At 41.1% G+C, this 18,681-nt stretch overlaps 2 long non-coding RNA genes across 2 annotated transcripts, besides 1 other annotated feature; one reads left to right on the plus strand and one right to left on the minus strand.

Moving 5' to 3' along the window:
- The first annotated feature begins 24 nt into the window (after window positions 1-24).
- Window positions 25-3,973, plus strand: LOC105377469 (uncharacterized). The gene is made up of 3 exons (XR_939294.1): window positions 25-107; window positions 2,233-2,428; window positions 3,886-3,973. It is a non-coding gene; the product is annotated as an uncharacterized LOC105377469 (long non-coding RNA).
- Window positions 589-638: an enhancer, noted in NCBI's record as "active region_21979". NCBI's record gives its function as "activates an Ori minimal core promoter by ATAC-STARR-seq in GM12878 lymphoblastoid cells {active_cell/tissue: GM12878}" and the evidence as "EXISTENCE:reporter gene assay evidence [ECO:0000049][PMID:35858748]".
- Window positions 3,803-16,261, minus strand: LINC01095 (long intergenic non-protein coding RNA 1095). Its single transcript, NR_038331.1, has 6 exons — window positions 16,094-16,261; window positions 8,640-8,813; window positions 7,990-8,104; window positions 5,949-6,098; window positions 5,659-5,821; window positions 3,803-4,214 (listed from the first exon to the last, which is right to left on the minus strand). It is a non-coding gene; the product is annotated as a long intergenic non-protein coding RNA 1095 (long non-coding RNA).
- Between the last annotated feature and the right edge of the window lie 2,420 nt (window positions 16,262-18,681).

An 18,681-nucleotide genomic window follows, 5' to 3' on the forward strand; every position in this document is an offset into this window, starting at 1 on the left:
ATGGCCATGCAGCTCACAGGAGAAGCAACTGCAACCCAATTGAAGTATTTCAACAGCTGGTTTCATCACCAACAGGAGAAAGCTGACTCTTTTGTGGAGTTCAGAAAGTGAGTGAAAAGGTTACATTTTCATAAAGATGTGCATAGGCAGGGCATGCAAAACCAGTCCTTTCTTGCTTTAGAAGAGACAGAAATCTTGAGCGTGGACATACTTTCAAGTTCCAGCACGTAGATCCATGGTCATGATCGGGTGGCCCAAAACTGCCTGCCTTAATGAAGATGCTCCCGGGCCTACACATGGAACAATCATGAACCTTCAAGGGATTTCTTTTGTGTCCTTATCCACCACATTCACATTCAATTTACCTAATACATTTCCTAATGAAACAATTAATACATTCACATATGAAACTAATTAAGACAGAGCTACAGCTTTGCCTGCTTTTTCTACAATTGAATTACTGAGACTCAGCCTGAATTCTAAAACTCTCTTCTTGAGTCATTAGGGGAGGAAAACGAACCACATGTGTTGTGAAACTTGCACATCATGGGCTCCCTGTGTTGTCACCAGTGCAGGAAGCGACACACTCCTGGAGTAGTGGGTGGACCTGTGGGCCCGGCATGGTGGCTCATTCCTGTAATCCCAGCACTTTGGAGGCCGAGGTGGGTGGATCACAAGGCCAGGAGTTTGAGACCAACCTGGCCAGCATGGTGAAACCCCATCTCTACTAAAAATACAAAAATTAGCTTGGCATGGTGGTGAGCACCTGTAGTCCCAGCTACTCGGGAGGCTGAGGCAGAAGAATCGCTTGAACCCAAGAGGCAGAGGTTGCAGTGAGCCGAGATCTTGCCACTGCACTCCAGCCTGGGCAACAGAGCAAAACTCCATCTCAAAAAAAAAAAAAAAAAGCTCCTATAGAACACAGAACTCAAGATACTGACACCATTGGTCTTGTAGCTAAGATGCCTGGAAAGTCTAAGTGTCTATGTTGAGTGTTTACCTTTTTCAGGTGTGACTTTTCTGAGAAATTGTAAGTATGTCATGTCTTGGACATTCTGGGCATTCCAAATCATAAAATAGGATTCCAGATTATTCTGAATGGCTGTATTTACATCATCCATTTCAACATCCATGTCAACATACATGTTGCTGAAGGGGTAGCTTTGGGAACTACTGCTCTGAACACAAATTAATGGTAGGAGGTACTGACTGAAAGCATCATGTGGTAGAAAACCCCAAATGCTTTTTTCAAGAACTATATATGAACTGTGTTTGTGCACGCACAGTTGTATGCTCATAAACGTTAATAAATTGGTATTGGGCAACACAATTAACATTCATTTCATTGGAGGCCCACAATATGCTAGGATTTTTTTCCCTTAATGATGTTTCAGAGCAGGATGCTTTGGTCCGAAATACATTGAAACACGCAACAATGAAATTCTATTTCTTTCTAGTAGTATGTTAAAGGCACCATGGGGGACACAAAATTATGAACCCCAAACTGCACCCTCAGGTTATTTACAGCCTATTAAGAAAAGCCATGTTTTTTCCCAATAACAGAGAATTCAAATACAGCTAGTCCCTGTGTTTGTTGTCAGAAAGAGAAAGAAAACCATACTTTGTTGGGACACATCATTATTAGTGTAACAATATATAAACATATGTCAACATGAAAAGCTTAATTTAAAGTATCATGGCATTACAGATCCCTTGTCTGAAGAATAAACTCAGTCAAAGAAAGTTGGAATGACTTGCCCGGGGTCACATAGTACTGATGATATCAGAACCCAGCTTTTTGACTTCCAGGTGGAGAATTACAGGTAAACTGAGAGTCCCTGGCTGGGTTTGGTCAGGTCCTTTATGGCTCTATAATGCTACGACTCTCTGAGAACTCTATGACCATGCTGCCACTCTCCTGACATTCTTTTAATTAATAAAATCACTCAGCTGAACAAAAATAATGGTTTCATTAAGATGCAGAAAATGCCACATTTAATCACTAAAAATGGCATAGTGTATCATTCACCTTAGGGAAATTTTTATGTTTAAATATGCAATATAGAGATATTTTAGATAATTAGCAACAAGGAAAGGCAACTAATCTATTATTGCATAATATTTGATTACCTATTAACTTCGGCCATGTAATTGAACACATAGCCAATGACTGTCACTTCCTGGCACTAAAGCCCAGGTAGATACTGCTCTGTTTTCATTCTGTCATTCTAGCCATTTCTAGGATGAATTTCCTTTTATTTGGAAGGAGGTTTTAAACTGAGCATTTGACGTCACATTGTTACCCACTGAAAAGTGCTCTCTGTAAGTGCTTCCTGAAGAAGGCAAGGTTGAAGTGAACCCTTTCAAACCAATGCGTGGCACTTTGTTAGCATTTGCTGAGTGTCCAGCACTAAGCTAGGCTTGTGAGGTAAGAAAAGAAAGTTTGTACCTGTTTTTATCACATGGGGCCAGTTACCTTTGTCTGCCTTCCAGGCCCTGGTTGCTAAATCCTGGGAAGTCTGTAATTACATTAGAAGATGGGATTATTAGTGATAAAATGTGGTGTTTTATAGATAGTGCTCTGAAACTTTGTTTCAATGGCCTTTCCCACACAGTATCTCAATAACCCTAAGGTAGGCAGGAAAAAAAATGTTACTGAGGCTCAGAGAATTTAAATGGCCTGCCTGAAATGTGACAGAAGGCAGACCCAGGACTAAAATGGAAGTCCTTGGAAGCCTGGCCCAGGGCCGTTCCTTCCTCACAAGGAAGGACTTGTAAAGAGCTTGCTTAATTCAAGGTTCCTTTGGCCTGGGATATCCTTTTGCTCATGCTCACCTGATGCCTCCAAGATAGGATTTCTGGGTATCCCTTCTTACCTGACATGCGTTCTGGCCACATCTTAGCCTGTAGTGCTCATGTACCTTCTTAGTCTCTAATCTGTCTATTGGTGCTTTGATATGTTAACCACGGGCTATCTTACTCCCTCAATTTTATTTTTGGATAAATTGGAGAAAACAGTTTTAAAACGATGAACTATAAGACTTTGATGCTGATTCTTTATTCTCAGTCCCAAGCTTTGCCTATACTTCAAAACAGATCTCAATGGACAAGGAAAAATAATATCAGCATTTCACTGGGCATCTAAAGTGCTAGGCATTGTGCTAAAAACTTTGAATGTTTTTAACATTGTATCAAGATGGGGACTGAAGGGCTTTAAACCCAGGCAGTCTGAATCCAGAACCCAAATGTCAGCTATGACACTGCTGTTGTCTCCCACAATGCCATACTTGCAAGTTTTGTGTAACACAGAGCATTTAGAAATCTCTTTAAAATTATGAAATTCTGGGTTTTCTTCCCCTGCTGTGGCCCAAACACAAACTAAGAACATACCTAACGAACAGCTGCAATTGATATTTTCATCTTAATTAGGGATTAAACATCAAATAAATTATTCTATTTAAGATGATTTATGATGTCCTAACTTTTCCAGTAGTTCATTTCAAACAGATTTTTAATAGTAGGAGAAAACAGTACCATAGTAACTTTTTAAAGTATGTGTGGGAAATTAACTAAAAATATTAAAAAGATCACTCACCCACTGTTAGCCTTTATTTTTTACCCCAAAACAACATGAGAAAATGAGTTTTTTCTTTTACCTTTGCTGTACCTTCCTCTTTGAAAATAAGCCCATTAATAAGAAGATATAAAAGGAAAATGTATCTCAAGACAAATTAAACTTTTTAAAAGAAACAGTTCTATCAAAACAAGTTTGCAAATAAAAAATAATTACCAAATGAACATATTAGGGGAGTGTAGCCATTAGGCATGTTTTTATTATGCAATAATTTATCCATGAACAGTTTATATTTCATATCCATATTACAGTGTTTTTTTTCCAAGTCACTGGGAGTACTCAAGCAGAGCTGATGAAAATTCATCAATCTGGGAAGTTCCAGAAGGGATTTTGCAGTGAGTAGAAAGTTGAAATCTTGGATGATAACGTCCCTTCCAATTTGAAGATTCTATAATTTCCAACTTAGGCAACTGACATAAGGTGAGTATCCTCATGGACTTGATTCCGTAGTGATGGTGGAAAGCAGTGGTGGACTATCGTGAGCTCTGGAGCCAGCCTGCCTGGTTTTGCTCTTGGACTTGATCACTTAATTGCTGTGTGAACTTGAGCAAGTTTCCCATCTGTACCTCAGTTTCCTCATCTGTAAAATGTTGATACTAATAGTATGAATCTCATAAAGTTGTTGTGAAGATTAAATGAGTTAATGTAAGTAAAGTGCTTGAAACAGTCCCTGGCACAGGGTAAATATTCTATATAATAGCTATGCTATTATTTTCCAATAATAATATCGGGAAAATAGTAGATGATACTGGAATAATATTCCAGCAATATTGGAATAATATTGGAAATTGTAGTCCAAAAATATTGGACTATTATCTGATCCATCTTGTGGTCTCCAATATGAAACAAACAGTAGCCCATTGTGAGGTTAATTATGGTGAGTTAAGGGCTCATATCTTGTCTGAAGCAAAGGAAATAAAGAAAAGAAGAGGAGAGGTAAAATGAGGAATTTTATTTAAAGGCAGCAGAGAGATGTCTAATGTTCAGGGAGAAAAATGAACACTCCATAGGCCTAGTCCATCAGGAGTGAAAGTATGACAGGAGAGAAAAAGCCAGTGGTACACAGTCTCTTCACACACACACACACACACACACACACACACACACACACTCCTCAGCAAACACATTTGGGGATTACTGGTCTATGTGCATCTTAAAGTTTTCACTTTAGCACTAGTGTTTAGTTCTAATATTGACCTATGGCTTCAATTTGGCAGCTCAAGTCCACACATTTGCCCTGAGCCCCTGCTAAGTAGCAAGTGTTGTGGAAGCAAAGCATGCTGCCCAAGGGTGCACAGTCTAGGAGGAAGGGGCCGACAGGACTGTGCCCACACTTTTCACTGGGTGGTAAGTGCTGTGATCAGCTTCTATGCTGGATGCTATGGGGGCTGGGAGAAGGCCACCTGACAGCCTACAGGGACAGGGAAGACTTCCAGGCAGAGGTGAAAGCTTCACTTAGACTTGAAGCAGGTATTAGGCTGATGAAGAAAGTAAGCCAAACAAAACAAAACAAAGCAGAACAAAACTCCGAGAAAATTAGACTAAGAAATGTTTTAATTCCTTCCATAAACTTTGAAAATAGGCAGGCCTAGGCTTGAATCCTCGTTTTGCTATTCACTAGCGATGTGACTTTGGGCAAGTTACTTAAACTCTCTGAACTTCAATGTAGTCATCTCTGGGACAGGGTCCCTATCTTATTGTGTTGTTCTGAAAATTAAAGGAACAATGTATGATCACCTCATAACCCAGTGTCTCCCACAGGCTTATTTTGAATATCTGTGGTATTAAAACACTCATACTAAAACATAATAAAAGAGGAAGTAATGATTTGTTGAATTTAGAGGAAGAAATAATGACAAGGAAAGCCAAAAGTAGCACAACAAGCTCTGTATTTAGGCTCATATATCCATTCTTGCCAGAGCCGCTAAGTCAGAGCTGGGGTGGAGAACAACTGGCCAAAGTCCATTACATTCCATCTAATGATAGGTCTGTTGGCAGGTGGGGGGAGGCTATCAGCAACTCACCTTGTCCAGTACCCTCCTGTTATAATACAAAGCTCCAGCTCAAACTGAAAACTTAAAGTACAATCAGCCAGATCCACCTTCTAATGACTATGATGTTTAAAGCATCCACAAAAGTGAAATTCAAATTATTGATATGTTTTAGTAGCACCATCCGTAATTTCACCTAAACATAAAGAAGAAGCAAAACAGGAGCAGGAAAGTCAGTCTATGATAAAAGCTCCCATTTATCACAGGCCTCCTATGAGTTAAGTACTGTTTATTTGCTATTTCTAACGCATATTGCAACTTACAAGGCAGTCCTGTTCTCCTTCACAAATGAAGCATCCACAGCACAATTGGTGACTTCACAAAGGTCCCATGGCTCCTAGGTGGGAAGCCGCCAGAAGGCAGATCTGATTCTAAAGCTGCTGTCTGCATGCCAGGCTAGTACAGCTCTCAATCTGGGATCAGGAAAGAGAGGTACCACATGTGGTCAAGGAGCTCCCACATCCCCAGGAGTCCAAGGGTTGCCATTCTTCCTCCTTCTGTCTCTGTGATGTCACCACTACAATGTTGTCATATTGTGAACTGTTCTGGTAAGTTACAAATTTTTCCACAGAAAAGAAGAGAAAGGGCTACCCAAAAAATGGGAGAGGAAAAACTAATCGTAAGTCTTCAGAGCTAAGTGAAGTTAAGAACCTGACCTTGGATGGGGGTATCCTAACCCAGCGGTGGCCTTAGTCACGTCATACTTCTGCTTCGCAACTGATCCCAGATACAGACACAGTCTAATTGAAAAGAAGGAGTTATCTGGTTGTGAGGTGTATTAACTTCTTAGGTGAAGTAAAATGCTTTGAAACAAGGTGAATTTTAAAAATCAGATATCTTGATTCAAATCCGGTCTTTGCCACTTAATAACTGTGTGATTAAGCCTCATCTACTTATCTTCTAAATGAAATTAATAGTATTTACTTCACTTTTCTCATCTCTAAAATGGTGATAATAATACCTATCCTCCTAGCATGATGGTAAGGATGAAGTGAGAATAAAAGCTAGCATGTAGAAAATAGTAACCGAAGTTACCTATTGATAATTTTCTGTGATTATCTTAATTAGCTACAGTATAGCATTCTTACATGAAGTACCTGGATGTGGTAAATAATCAATAAACAGCAGCTATTATTATTAACAGGGCACATTTTTGTATTGGTGCAGGTCTGCTGGTGGAAATAAATGAAAGGAGGAGAAATCCTGTGTGTGACAGCACAAATGCAAAAATAAAACCAAAAACAACAATAAGAAAGCAGAAGTGGAAGGAAAAGAATCTTAGCTTGAGTCAACCAACTTGTTACCAGAATTCAGTTATTAAAAATCTCTATAGTGTAAATTTAGCCTTTAGAATTTAATTTTTTTAACTTTCTCTTTTGTTTTTACCAAAGTCCACTTTGAAGAGTCCAGTCTTCACTGGACCAAGGAAGAAAGGAAAATAAATTTAAATTTTTATGTATTTAGTTAGTTTTGCTTTGTAAAAGAGAAGAATCCAGCTCAGGTTCTTAACTCCACTCACCTCTAAAGAATTCCCAGTCATATTTCCCTCTCCCTTTTTGGGTGATGCTTTGTCTATGTCTATGGTAGAGGAGAAATGGGGAAGAGACACTGCAGGGGTGATGAGGACAGAATTTAGAGCACTGTAGAGAGAGGGGAGATTCTGGGGAGAGAGTGAGAGGGTCCTTGTGCAGTGATCCTTCTCCTTGGAATGGTTTGTCCCTAAAAGCTACTCTGCTTCTTTCCTGTCAGGGATGTTAGCAGAGCTCAAATCCTTATGAACCCAAACTCCCAAGCCACTGGATCCGGTGAGATGGCTGGAACTCAGCAGGGTCAGCATGAGGAACACCGCGAGGACTGCTGAAACACCACATTCCCATGGCTGCCGCAGGACAGCGGGGTGGCTGGAAGGCACAGTGTCTGTGAAACTGTGGTCCTCGGCAAGGGGTGTGACCTCATGGTGGGTCGCCTGACCTATGAGCAGAGATGGAAGGAAGAATGCCAATTTGGAGGCAGATGTGGGAAGTAGGAGTGCTGTGGCAACACGGTGTGGAAATAGGGAGTTCTCTTCAGGCGTGATGCTCACAGTTTACATAAATCTATTGATCTATGTATTTACCTGCCTACCTCTATGTGTGCGTTTGTCTGGGTGTGGGGTGGAGCAGTGTGAGGTGGGTTCAGGAACCGTGTTTGTGAGGGCTGTCTGGGGAGACAGAACCAATAGGAGCTATATCTGTACTGATATTGGTATCTCTACTGATATAGATAGATGAGAGGGGATGTATTAGGGGAATTGGCTCACACGACCTTGGTGACTGAGAAGTCCCACCACAGTCCATCTGCAAGCTGGAGACCCTGGGACGCAGGTAGTGTGGCTTCACAGCAAGTTCAAAGACCTCAGAATCAAGGGAGCGTATCTGCCCTAAGGATGAGATCGGGAAAAAGCCTGCAAGCATGTGTTTGAAAGGAGGTGAGAGAGGAAGATCAAGAAGGGTTTTCCCAAGTTACGGTTGCAACGCAAGAAAGGGAAAGGTGAGAAGAGGGACCCGAGCCCAGGCCTTGGGAGGAAGAGGAGGAAGAAGAGGGGTGTGGGCCCGACCCCGAGAGCAGACCAGGGCTGCGGTCAGAGCTGGTCGCCAGATGAGGACGCCTGGGCAGCTGGCCTGTGCCTGAGCAGAGGTGGCTGAGGTCCAGGAGGCAGAGAAGAAGAAATGGAGCCTCGCACCGCTGCTCCTAGCTTGCCCAGAGGGAGAAGGGTGATGGGGCTGTTCCTATGCACTCAGGACCGTGGCTCTTGAACTTTATGTGTCGGGAAGGAGGCAAGGGCTGAACTGGAGAGTGGGCCATTCATTTAGTTCCAGCGTCCCAGGAAATGCTCTTTTCCCCGCGGGAGCCTCTGCCTGCAGCTGTAATGACCTTGGACTAGAAGGTCAAACTCCAAAGGCTTGAAACCGCACCTGCAGCAGGACTGGCCACCTACGTTGTGGGGTATCTTTAAAATAAAATGCTGCACTGTCCTGCAACTGTCAGTCTGAAGCAGAAGTCCTGAGTGCCCAGGGGCAACTGGTGTAAGTCCTGGAGTTTGAAGGTCATAGAGCCTGGAGTCCAACCGCAGGAGGAGAAGAGTGTCCCTGCTCCAGGAGAGAGAGAGAGAAAAAAAAAAATCTCTTTTTGTGTATGTGCTGTTGTTGCCTTTTTTGTTCTTATCTGTGCCCCCAGCCATTTGGATGATGCCCCCACATTGAGGACAGGTCTTCCCCACTCAGTTTACTGACACACACTCCAGTCTCCTCTGGAAACCATCTCACAGACACACCCAGAAAGAATGCTTTACTAGTTCTCTAAGTATTCCTTAATCCAGTCAAGTTGGCACCTGAAATTAACCATCCTAGGGACACTGCTATTTTTAAATCTACCTAGAATTTGCACCTCTGACTCTAGAGATTGAGGCAGAATTCATTTTCAGGGAGACTATCCTTTTGATTTGAAAAACACCGATATAAGCTCTTTAGTTAAACAAAGATAGGGCCATGCTTCTATTCTGGAAGAAACAGATTAAGATGGAGCAAAGCTAAGCTGCTCATCAGAGATTTTTTTTTTCTCTAATATATTTTATGGCTTCCTCAGGAAAGAAGCAGGCCAGGGAAGAGTGGAGATGGGCAGAGTGGTGATAAAACAGGGGGCTCATGGAGAGGAGGAGAAATGGACTTTAGCACCACAGTGGCAGGCAGGAGCTTAAGAGCAGAGTTTAATTCCAAGGGATTCCTTCGATGGGGTTATGACCAATCTGCTTTAGGAGCAGTGATACAGAATTTTCTATCTCCCTTTTGGTGGTGCTGTGGTTTGGATGTTTGTACCCCAAAAAACTTCATGTTGAAATTTGATCCCAGTGTTGGAGGTGGGACTTTATGAGAGGGGTTTGGGTCATGGAGGAAGATCCCATATGAACTGATTAATACTCTCCCTCAGGGGTGAGTGAGTTCTCATCTCATTAGTTCCCGATCCAGCTGGTTGTTACAAAGAGCCCGGCACCCTCACCTCTCTTTTGCTTCCTTTCCATATGATCTCTGCATACACTAGCTTCCTTCCTCTCGTGTCGTGAGTGGAAGCAGCCCAAGGTCCTAATGGCAGATGCCTAATCCTGAACCTTCCAGCCCATCAGAATAGTAAGCCAAATAAATCTTTTTTCTCTGTAAGTTACCCAGCCTCAGGCATTTCTTGATAACAACGCAAAATGGACTAAGGCATGTGGTATGACTCCTCATGTTATTCTCAAACCCTCAGTAAAGTTTTGTCACTCTCTATGGCTGGTGTCAGCCATGTTGGAATAAAGAGAGGAGCTGGTGTCCACAGGGGGCAACCGATTAACAGAGAGATAAGGTTGGGAGATGACAAGAGGAAGCACGGAGCTGGTGTAAGCATTCCCTGACAAATCTTCAGAAGTTCTTGCAAAAGAAGACTACATGTTTCTTGTTCACACAGGATGGGATTCACAATATTTGAGGGAGGGATATTGTCATAGACATTGGGGGTACCTGGTAGCACATGAACCCACTTTTTATGTTTAGGGATGTCCTCACTGTATGAGTCTCCATGAGGGTTAGAGACCTCCACTATGGAGGTCAAATAGGCCAGAGACTTGTTTTTCCAGCCTCCTGCCCTGGAGAGGGGGCATGTGACCTAGGCTTGGCCAGTCAGGCACCACCCCAGGACTTTGCATTGGAAGCTAGTGAACCGATGAAGAGGAGTGGTAGAGAGTCTATTCTGAGGAGTGGGGTGGTGGGGTAGAAGGCAGCTAAAGCCTCCAGTTTCCTGGGGCACAAGAGAGAGTAGGATTGGTAGCATTATTTAGTTGAGAACATCCAAGAAGCAGATGCCAAGATGGGATTCGAGATTTATTAGGGAAAGAAATTCATTAGGGAAAATGGCTCTGGAGGATAAAGAGAAAGGGAGTGGGAGTTGGAGAGAGCCATTAGATTGGGAGACAGGTCTAACAACTGTAAAAGGATAATGAGAAACAAAGAATGGTGGGAAGAGCCTCAGAGTGCAGCAGAATTCTGAGACAATCTTGGCTTGGCCAATGGAGAGTCTCCAGGCAAAAGCTGCTGTGTTCATTTTTCTATTGCTGCTGTAACAGGTTACCTGACCCTTTGAAGCTGAAACCAACACAATGATCATGTTGTATTGTATATCTGTAATTTGCTAAGAGGGTAGATCCCAAGTGTCTTTACCATACCAAGAAATAAAAATAAAAAATAAAAAAGAATGGTAACTATGTGAGGTGATGGAAATGTTAATTAGCTTGATTGTGGTGAGGAACACAAATTTATTATCTTACAATTCTGGAGGTCAGAAGTCTGACATTAGTGCTAAAATCAAGGAACTGACAGGATTGCTTCCTCTGAGAGCTTCAGGAGAGCTGGGGCCTGCCCTTTTCAGCTTCTAGTGACTGCCAGAATTCCTTGGCCTGTGGCTGCATCACTTCAATCTCTGCTTCGGTCATCACCTCTCCTACTTCTCCCTCTGATCGCCTGCATCCCTCTTATAAGGACCCTTGTGGTTACACTGAGCCCTAAGTAATCCGGGATACTCTTCCAAGATTACATGTGCAAAGTCCCCTTTGCCCTATAAAGTAACATTCACTGGTTTCCTCTGCTGGTGGCAAGTGCAAGCTCTGATGTCCAGTGTCTAGTGCTATTAGCAGCAGTGCCCATTGCTCATGTTCTTGTGGCATGATTTGTACTTGGGTTCTAGATACCTAGAGTCTCTCTTCTTCTACCTGTTTTCTGAACCTTCTCAAAATTTCCTGGTGTTTCTGTGAGCTCCTTGGTCATCTTTTAATAAACTTCTTTTCTACTTAACTCAATCAGAGTCAGTGTGGCTGATCATTGTTAGGTTTGGTGAAAACAGGAGGCTCTGTTCCTAAAAGGAAAAGGGGAAATAATTGCTCTAATTTTAGAGACTAAATTTTCCAACCTTCCTTGTGGCCAGGCATGGCCATGTGACTAAATTCTCATCAGGGAAATGTGAGCAGAAGTGATGTGTCTAACCTCCATGTCACTTCTTCAAAAGGAACTCCTATGCACAATCCTTCCTTCTTTTCTCCCCTCTTCTGGGTTCAGTATGTACATGGTATTGGGGAGTCAGCTTGCTTCAGTGAATAAGAGCAACATTTGAGGAGATGACAGGGCACCTAGAAAGATGGAACAAGGCTCTCTGGATGATTTTATGTAGCAGAACCACCTTCCTATGTTTGTGGGTCTGTGTTCTTGTGGGTTGTTATGTGAGAGAGAAATAAGCCTATATTGGTTGAGCCACTGTCTTTGGGGGTCTCTTTTGAAAGCCACCAGCCTATTCTAGGTTTAGTGTGACCTAATGAAAACAGCCAATTTATGTCTAATATTCCTGGCTAGTTCAGATATAAGAACCAGGAGTGATTCCAGCATCTCAGGGAAGGGGGAGAAGGAGGGATTCTGGGAGTAATTGTTGGGAAAGTTGGGGATGAGGGCAGTAAAATTTCAGTAGTAGTATTTAAGAATGAGAATTTGTTAGTCTATGACATGCAGGGGTAAGACAATGACATTTTAGGGGTCTGAGTAGCCACTGCCACTGAATAGCATAGGTGGAAAGAGTCACACAAGGAGGCTATGGGGTGAAGTAATTAATACTAACAGTCAGGAGTAGCTTAAATAAAGAAAATAACAAACTCAAATCACTAAATTCTCAGCCCAAAGCACAGTTAGAAAAAAAGGGAGTCATATATAACTATGCTAAAATAATCTCTTGCAGCAGGGCCAAAATAGCTGCAAACCAAATGCAATGGTTAATTCTGAATTTTGCTTTGATCTGTTGAATTCTCAGGCTTGTCAGTAGAACACTGAACATAAAAATGTGGAACCCTGATCACTGAAATGGGGATATATGGAAGGATTCAGAGGCCTCATAAGGTTTTGATCCTCCAATTGCTGCTGCCCCTCTGAGGGTCACGGAGGAACATATATCCATAGGTCACAGTTCATGAATCCCTACAAAGAAGCTAGTCTTTGCAAATTCTAGTGAATTTTAACAGCATAAAGTGGAAAAAGTCTGTCTATGTCCTGATGAGCATCAACTGTGAAGAGGCTGTTCTTGTCTTATTTGAAAACCCTGTAAGAACCTCTCTGAGGACTTACTCTACAAGGACATGTCAATTCTTTACTTCCACATTCCTAATTTCCTTCATTTTCCACAGTGCCATAATTAAAATGCCAACATGCCTGTGTATATGGTGGTCGTGGGGCAGTTACAAAGTCAAATATCAAAGGAAAAGGCTTTCTAAAAAAAAAGAATATTTTTTCCTACTTTATGTTAGCAAAAATATCTGTGGAATATGATTGGGTAATGGATTATGGGGTGCTAGGTCAAGGAGGGTGAGAACATACATTTAAATGGAGACGAATTTATCTAGATCTTGGGAGGGGGGCAGTGATATTCCAGGGCTTTCACTAGGTTCTTCCCAAAGAATTAATCAAACCAATCTAAAATTCATGAGGAAACTGCAAAGATTAGTGATAAATTAAGTGTTGGAAGCATATAGTAGCTTTGTATCCCCATATAGCTTTCTGATTTGACTAGGGCAGGACATGGATGGATCTTAGCAGAGTAGATTATTGTAAACTTAATCAGCTGATGACTGTAACTGCAGCTTCTACTCCTGATGAAGTCTCCTTACTAAAGAAAATCATTAGAGCCTAAACGTGCAGTCACTACTTTTGTTTATTTTTTTTCTATTCCAAGGCCAGAAAGTGTAATGACAGGCTCTGCAGACCATAAGGAATCTGTCATATCTACCCAGCTCTGCCATTGCAATATGAGAGCCATAGACCATGCATAAACAAATGGACGTGGCTGTGTTCTAATTAAATTTTATTTACAAAATGAGCAGTAAGTGCCCCAGTAGCAACAAGCACATCCAGTTCTCAGATCCTGGTTTCTAATATCATTCTTCAATAAAAGGAACTAGGGATCCTTGGAGAAATGACTGACTCTAGGACTGGGGTGAGAAATATACCACATGGGCCCAGATCATCTAATTACACCAAAAAGTAAGGATGTGCTCACAAATAACAAAAAGCAAAACAAAACAAAAAACTAAGAAAAAACCATCACCAACAAAAACACACACACACATCGATGGGGGTATGTCATTAGGAGCCAACCAAAAGAGCTCTTAATGGCCAAAGCTGAGACAATTTGAGCAATAAAATAAAGTAGCATTGGATTATGGCTCAAAGTATAAAGTAAATATCCAAGATTCCATACTGATACAAATACATGATTTAATAAACTAACAAGTGAGAAGAAGAGACAATCTCTCATGCAGAAGAATTCCAAATATAACACATAGATACTCTGTCTTAAAGGAGGGAGAGCATAACTCCCCACTCAAGTGTGGGCTGTGCATAGTGACTTCTCTCCCTAGAATACAGTAAGGAGAGGCAGAAAGAAGTAACTTTACAGTGGAGAAACCTGACATGCACTATTTCAGCCAGGTGTTTGAGGTCAATATCGACAGTCATACATCATGTTGGTAATATGTACCCTTGATATGATGTGATGAAAAGGGCACTTTAAATTTGTGATCTTTCCCCAAAATCCACAACACCGTTCGAATTGTGAGAAAATCATCAGAAAAACTCCAATAGAGGAACATTGTGCAATATACCTAACCACTACTCAAAACTGCCAAGGTGAACCTGGTGCAGTGGTGAGCTCCTGTATTCCCAGCTCCTTGGGAATCTGAGGCAAGTGGAACACTTGAGCCCAGGAGTTCAAGATCAGACTAGGCAACACAGTAAAACCCTGTCTCAAAAAGAAAACTGCCAAGGTCATCAAAAACAAGGAAAATCTGAGAAAATTTCATAGTCAAAGTAGCCTAACGAAATGTGACAAATAAATGTAATGTGGTATCCTGGATGGCATCCTGGAACAGAAAAAGGACATTAGGTCAAAATTAAGGAAGTCTGAAGAGAATGGATGGAAAGGGTCACACAAGGACTGTGAGGTGGTACGGTTAATACGAACAATCAGGAGAGGTTTAAATAGAGAAAATAACAAACTCAAATCACTAAATTCTCAGCCCAAGGCACAGTTATGAAAAAAAGGAATCATATATAACTATTCTAAAATAATCTCTTGCAGCAGGGCCAAAATAGCTGCAAACCAAATGCAATGGTTAATTCTGAATTTTGCTTTGATCTGTTGAATTCTCAGCCTTGCCAGTAGAACATTGAATATAAAAAGGATTATTTAGTAATAGTATATCAATCTATGTTAATTGTAACAAATGTACCATATTAATATAAAATGTTAATAACAGGAGAAATTATGGGTATACTGGCAACTCAACGTGCTCTCTGCTCAATTTTTCTGTAAATATAAAACTACTCTAAAAATGCAAGTCTATTAATAAAAATTATAAAAGGCAGCAAGGCAGATTTTGCCTTCAGACTCTACTTTGCTGACCCCTGCTATATTCCATTAAGCAGAGAAAACAGTCAAGTTTGCTTTCACCTGGTGGGAACAGCAGAATACCTTTATTATTTTGTCTCAGAGTTACATCAAATCTCAGGTTTTATACCACAATACGGGAGATCAGTGCCTTGAACATCCCATCATCCTATAAAACATCATTGGATCATAGGTACACTAAATTGATGACATCATGCTGACAGGAGTTGAAGAGCAGAAATTAAGAGCTACTCTCAATGCCATGGTAAGATACATGTCTATAAGAGGGAAGGAGATATATCCTATAAAAGTGCAAGAAGGAGCCTACCCTTTCAATAAAGTTTCCAGGAATTTGATAGTCCCAGGATATTGGAATTTCTTCTTCAAAGGGAATGCCAGATTGGTACATGTTGTAGCCCCTACCTATTAAAATGGTACACTCTGGGGAGCTTTGGATTTTGTAGACAGTATTTTACATTCAAATGTGTTACTCTGAGCCATTTACAAGGTGACCTGAGAAGTTGCTTAGGCTCTTACAGGATGCAAAGAATAAAGAATAATCCATTATCTCAGTTAACAGAGCTTATTGTAAGATTACCAGGAAAGTACGAAAACTCAGAAAAAATGAAAATAACTCAAGCTAAGCCACCAGAGAATTAAATATTATGGCTATTTGGGACACAATGAAAAGTTTTATAATAACGTCTACTGACTCTAGCAGCTGGCTGTGCTCCTGATTCCGGTCTTCCATTCTGCTTATCTGCACTCATTTTTTCTTCGCTAGGACTAATTCTCTACCCTCTCTTGGCTTCTGTTTCTGCTCCTGTTACTACTACGATGGAATAACTATTTTTAATCTCTTCTATTTATCTCCAGGTTTCTGTTTACTCATAACTTCTCCTACCACCCAGTTTTTACTTACTGCCTTCTTCGTGTGTGTGTCTTGGCCTCTCCAGCCTGCTGACTCTCTGAATGCTTTGCGTTCAGTCTCTCAAAAAGAGTTTCTGATTGGACTCTTCACTTCTGTCCAATGTCCTTTTATGGCAGAGCTCTTGTGCTGGCCTCCCTCAGGGAGCCCTGGACAACTTCTAGATAGCTAACAAACACCCATCACAGGTCCAATCAGCACTGACTGTGGTTGTGACATCACACAATGCCAACACACTGACCTATGCAAAGGATCTTTCAGAAGAGGCTGCGGTTGTGGTAGACACTCTAAAGCTTCACCATATGGAGGCGTTATAGCCAGGAGGCACCTTTGCTGGCCTGTCCAGACAACTGAATTGGTCATTTTGACTAAGGAGGATGACAACCTTTAATACCTTAAAGCATTAAAGGGAAAAAATGAAACTCCTGATGATTTCAGCTTGGAAGATGAACTATTAGGTTGGTGCAAAAGTAATTGTGGTTTTGCCATTACTTTAAATGGCAAAAAGCACAATTACTTTTGCACCAACCTAATAGAAAGCTTTGACCTAGAGGAAGGTACTTTAGGAGACTGCCAATCATCAGCATGCTTTCTGTTTCCTTTTCTCTGCTTATCTATGTAAGGTTTTATTCAAAGTGGGTACTCCTGGTTTATGGTGGGAATATGAGTAGGGTTGTGGAGAAAAAGGATACAGAGGCTTCTAACCCCACGAGTAAGTCTGCTGCCAGTGGTAGCCATACAGTGAGAATACGATACAATTAGAGTCCATCAGCAGAGTGCTTTATTAGTCCCTGCCTTGGCTGGGTCACGTGTAAGATGATCAACTTCTTGCTGCTTTTTTCTTTAAAAAAGTTAATCTGAACTTGGCAACTATGTTTTTGTTCGTGGAAACCTGGTTATCCAGCCCGTTGGCACAGCTGGTTTGGGTTTTGATTCCCAGAACTCAGTCTACAGGCCTTTCCAGCCTCTCTCCAGCATAGATTGCAGCGCTCTGCAAGGTGCAAGTCCTGAAAACACATCATTTGGATTTCCTCTCTCTGGTTAACTGTCACAGCCAGCTGCTCTCAATCCCTGGATTCATTTCCTCTTGAATTCTGTGTAATGTTCTCCTTAATCATTCAATGTAAAAAGAAGAAAAACTTTTTCCTGGTCTTTTTTTTTTTTTTAAATGGGAGAGGCTTTACTGATTTTCTTTTCAATTTGACCAATAATTCCCTTATGCCCACGGATACTCCTTAACAGTTGTTCTCTTGCTGTTGTCATTTTATATTAATGTTCAGAGAATACTTAATGGAATCTTCCTTCAATAACTACTCATATTGGCTCTTATTTGGTTTGCAATTTTGAAACCAAAGATCTATGGATTTTAAACCATACACTCCTCAGGCAAGAGGTTATTAAACAATCATTGGTGACTGTATTTAATGTTAAACTTATAATTCAGAAAGAGGTAGACTGGGTGAATTGAAAAATACCTCAGAGACTCAGAATTAGGTTTCCAAAAAGCAATCATCTGCACTTTTTTTTCAAATGAAAATAGTATCATATCAGGATTAATTCAAGTTAATAGCTAAGAAAATATCAATCTAGGTACTGTACATAGCTTCAATGCCCAGTTTCATTTTGCTACAAGAAACTATATATTTTATTGGACACGCACACAAAAAGCTTGTCATATTACTCATCACCCCTAGAAGCAGTTCATAGAGCAGCAAAGTAATGTTGCTAACAAGAAGCAGTTTTCTGTAGTAGACAGCAATTCTTATCCTGTCATGGATTTATCTTATTATTGACAGCAAATTTGGCTGGCATTTACCAGAATTGATGCTTTACCCAGCCCCATACCAGAGCTGGAACATAAAATAGGCTTATACCACACTTAATGTCACTCACGTATTTCCTCTGTTCAAAGTCACATCCCTTTTCTGATCTGAATGATGAAGGAGGACGTTTAAAACATAGACATCTCTATGCTTTATTATAGAGTAGTTTGTAAGTACTGTTTACAGTGCCAACACATGAGGAGGCAGCAGCAACTACTTTAATATGATTAAAGGTAGCAGTATTTGCTACAACAAATGAGTTCTAACATTGGCCACCAGAGTTGTTTTTTTTTTTTCTTGGTGTCTGGCTTACTTTCTACTTAATTTGTTCAGGAAAACACCAGGTCAATTTGTATTATAAGAATTTGCCTAGCTCACAAATGATCCCATAAGGAGTGGGCATTCTATTTTTTCTAGTTCTGATGTTTCTGTAATCTTTTTAAGACATGTTGTATCATAAAGCTTAATGTGCATCTCATTTCTTTAAAGTCGCTTGAGGGATGAGCTATCAATGAGAATCTGGAGATGTATATAGAAGCAGTAACCATTAAAGGTTGTGTGAGTAACTGGGCTCAGGGTATGCAAATAGGCAAGGAGTGGGATGCGCCCCTCAGTGAGCAAGTTCGTGGTTGTCTGAAGCTACTGCGACGGGGAGCCTCTTGGGGTCAGTGGAGAGGCTGATGAAGCAGAGACAACTCCAGAAAAGATGATGCCTGCCACTGAGGCCATCGGGATGATGGTGGGAGGAGGAACAGAGTC

The sequence above is a fragment of the Homo sapiens genome, chromosome 4 (genome assembly GCF_000001405.40).
Source record: "Homo sapiens chromosome 4, GRCh38.p14 Primary Assembly".
Taxonomy (NCBI): domain Eukaryota; kingdom Metazoa; phylum Chordata; class Mammalia; order Primates; family Hominidae; genus Homo; species Homo sapiens.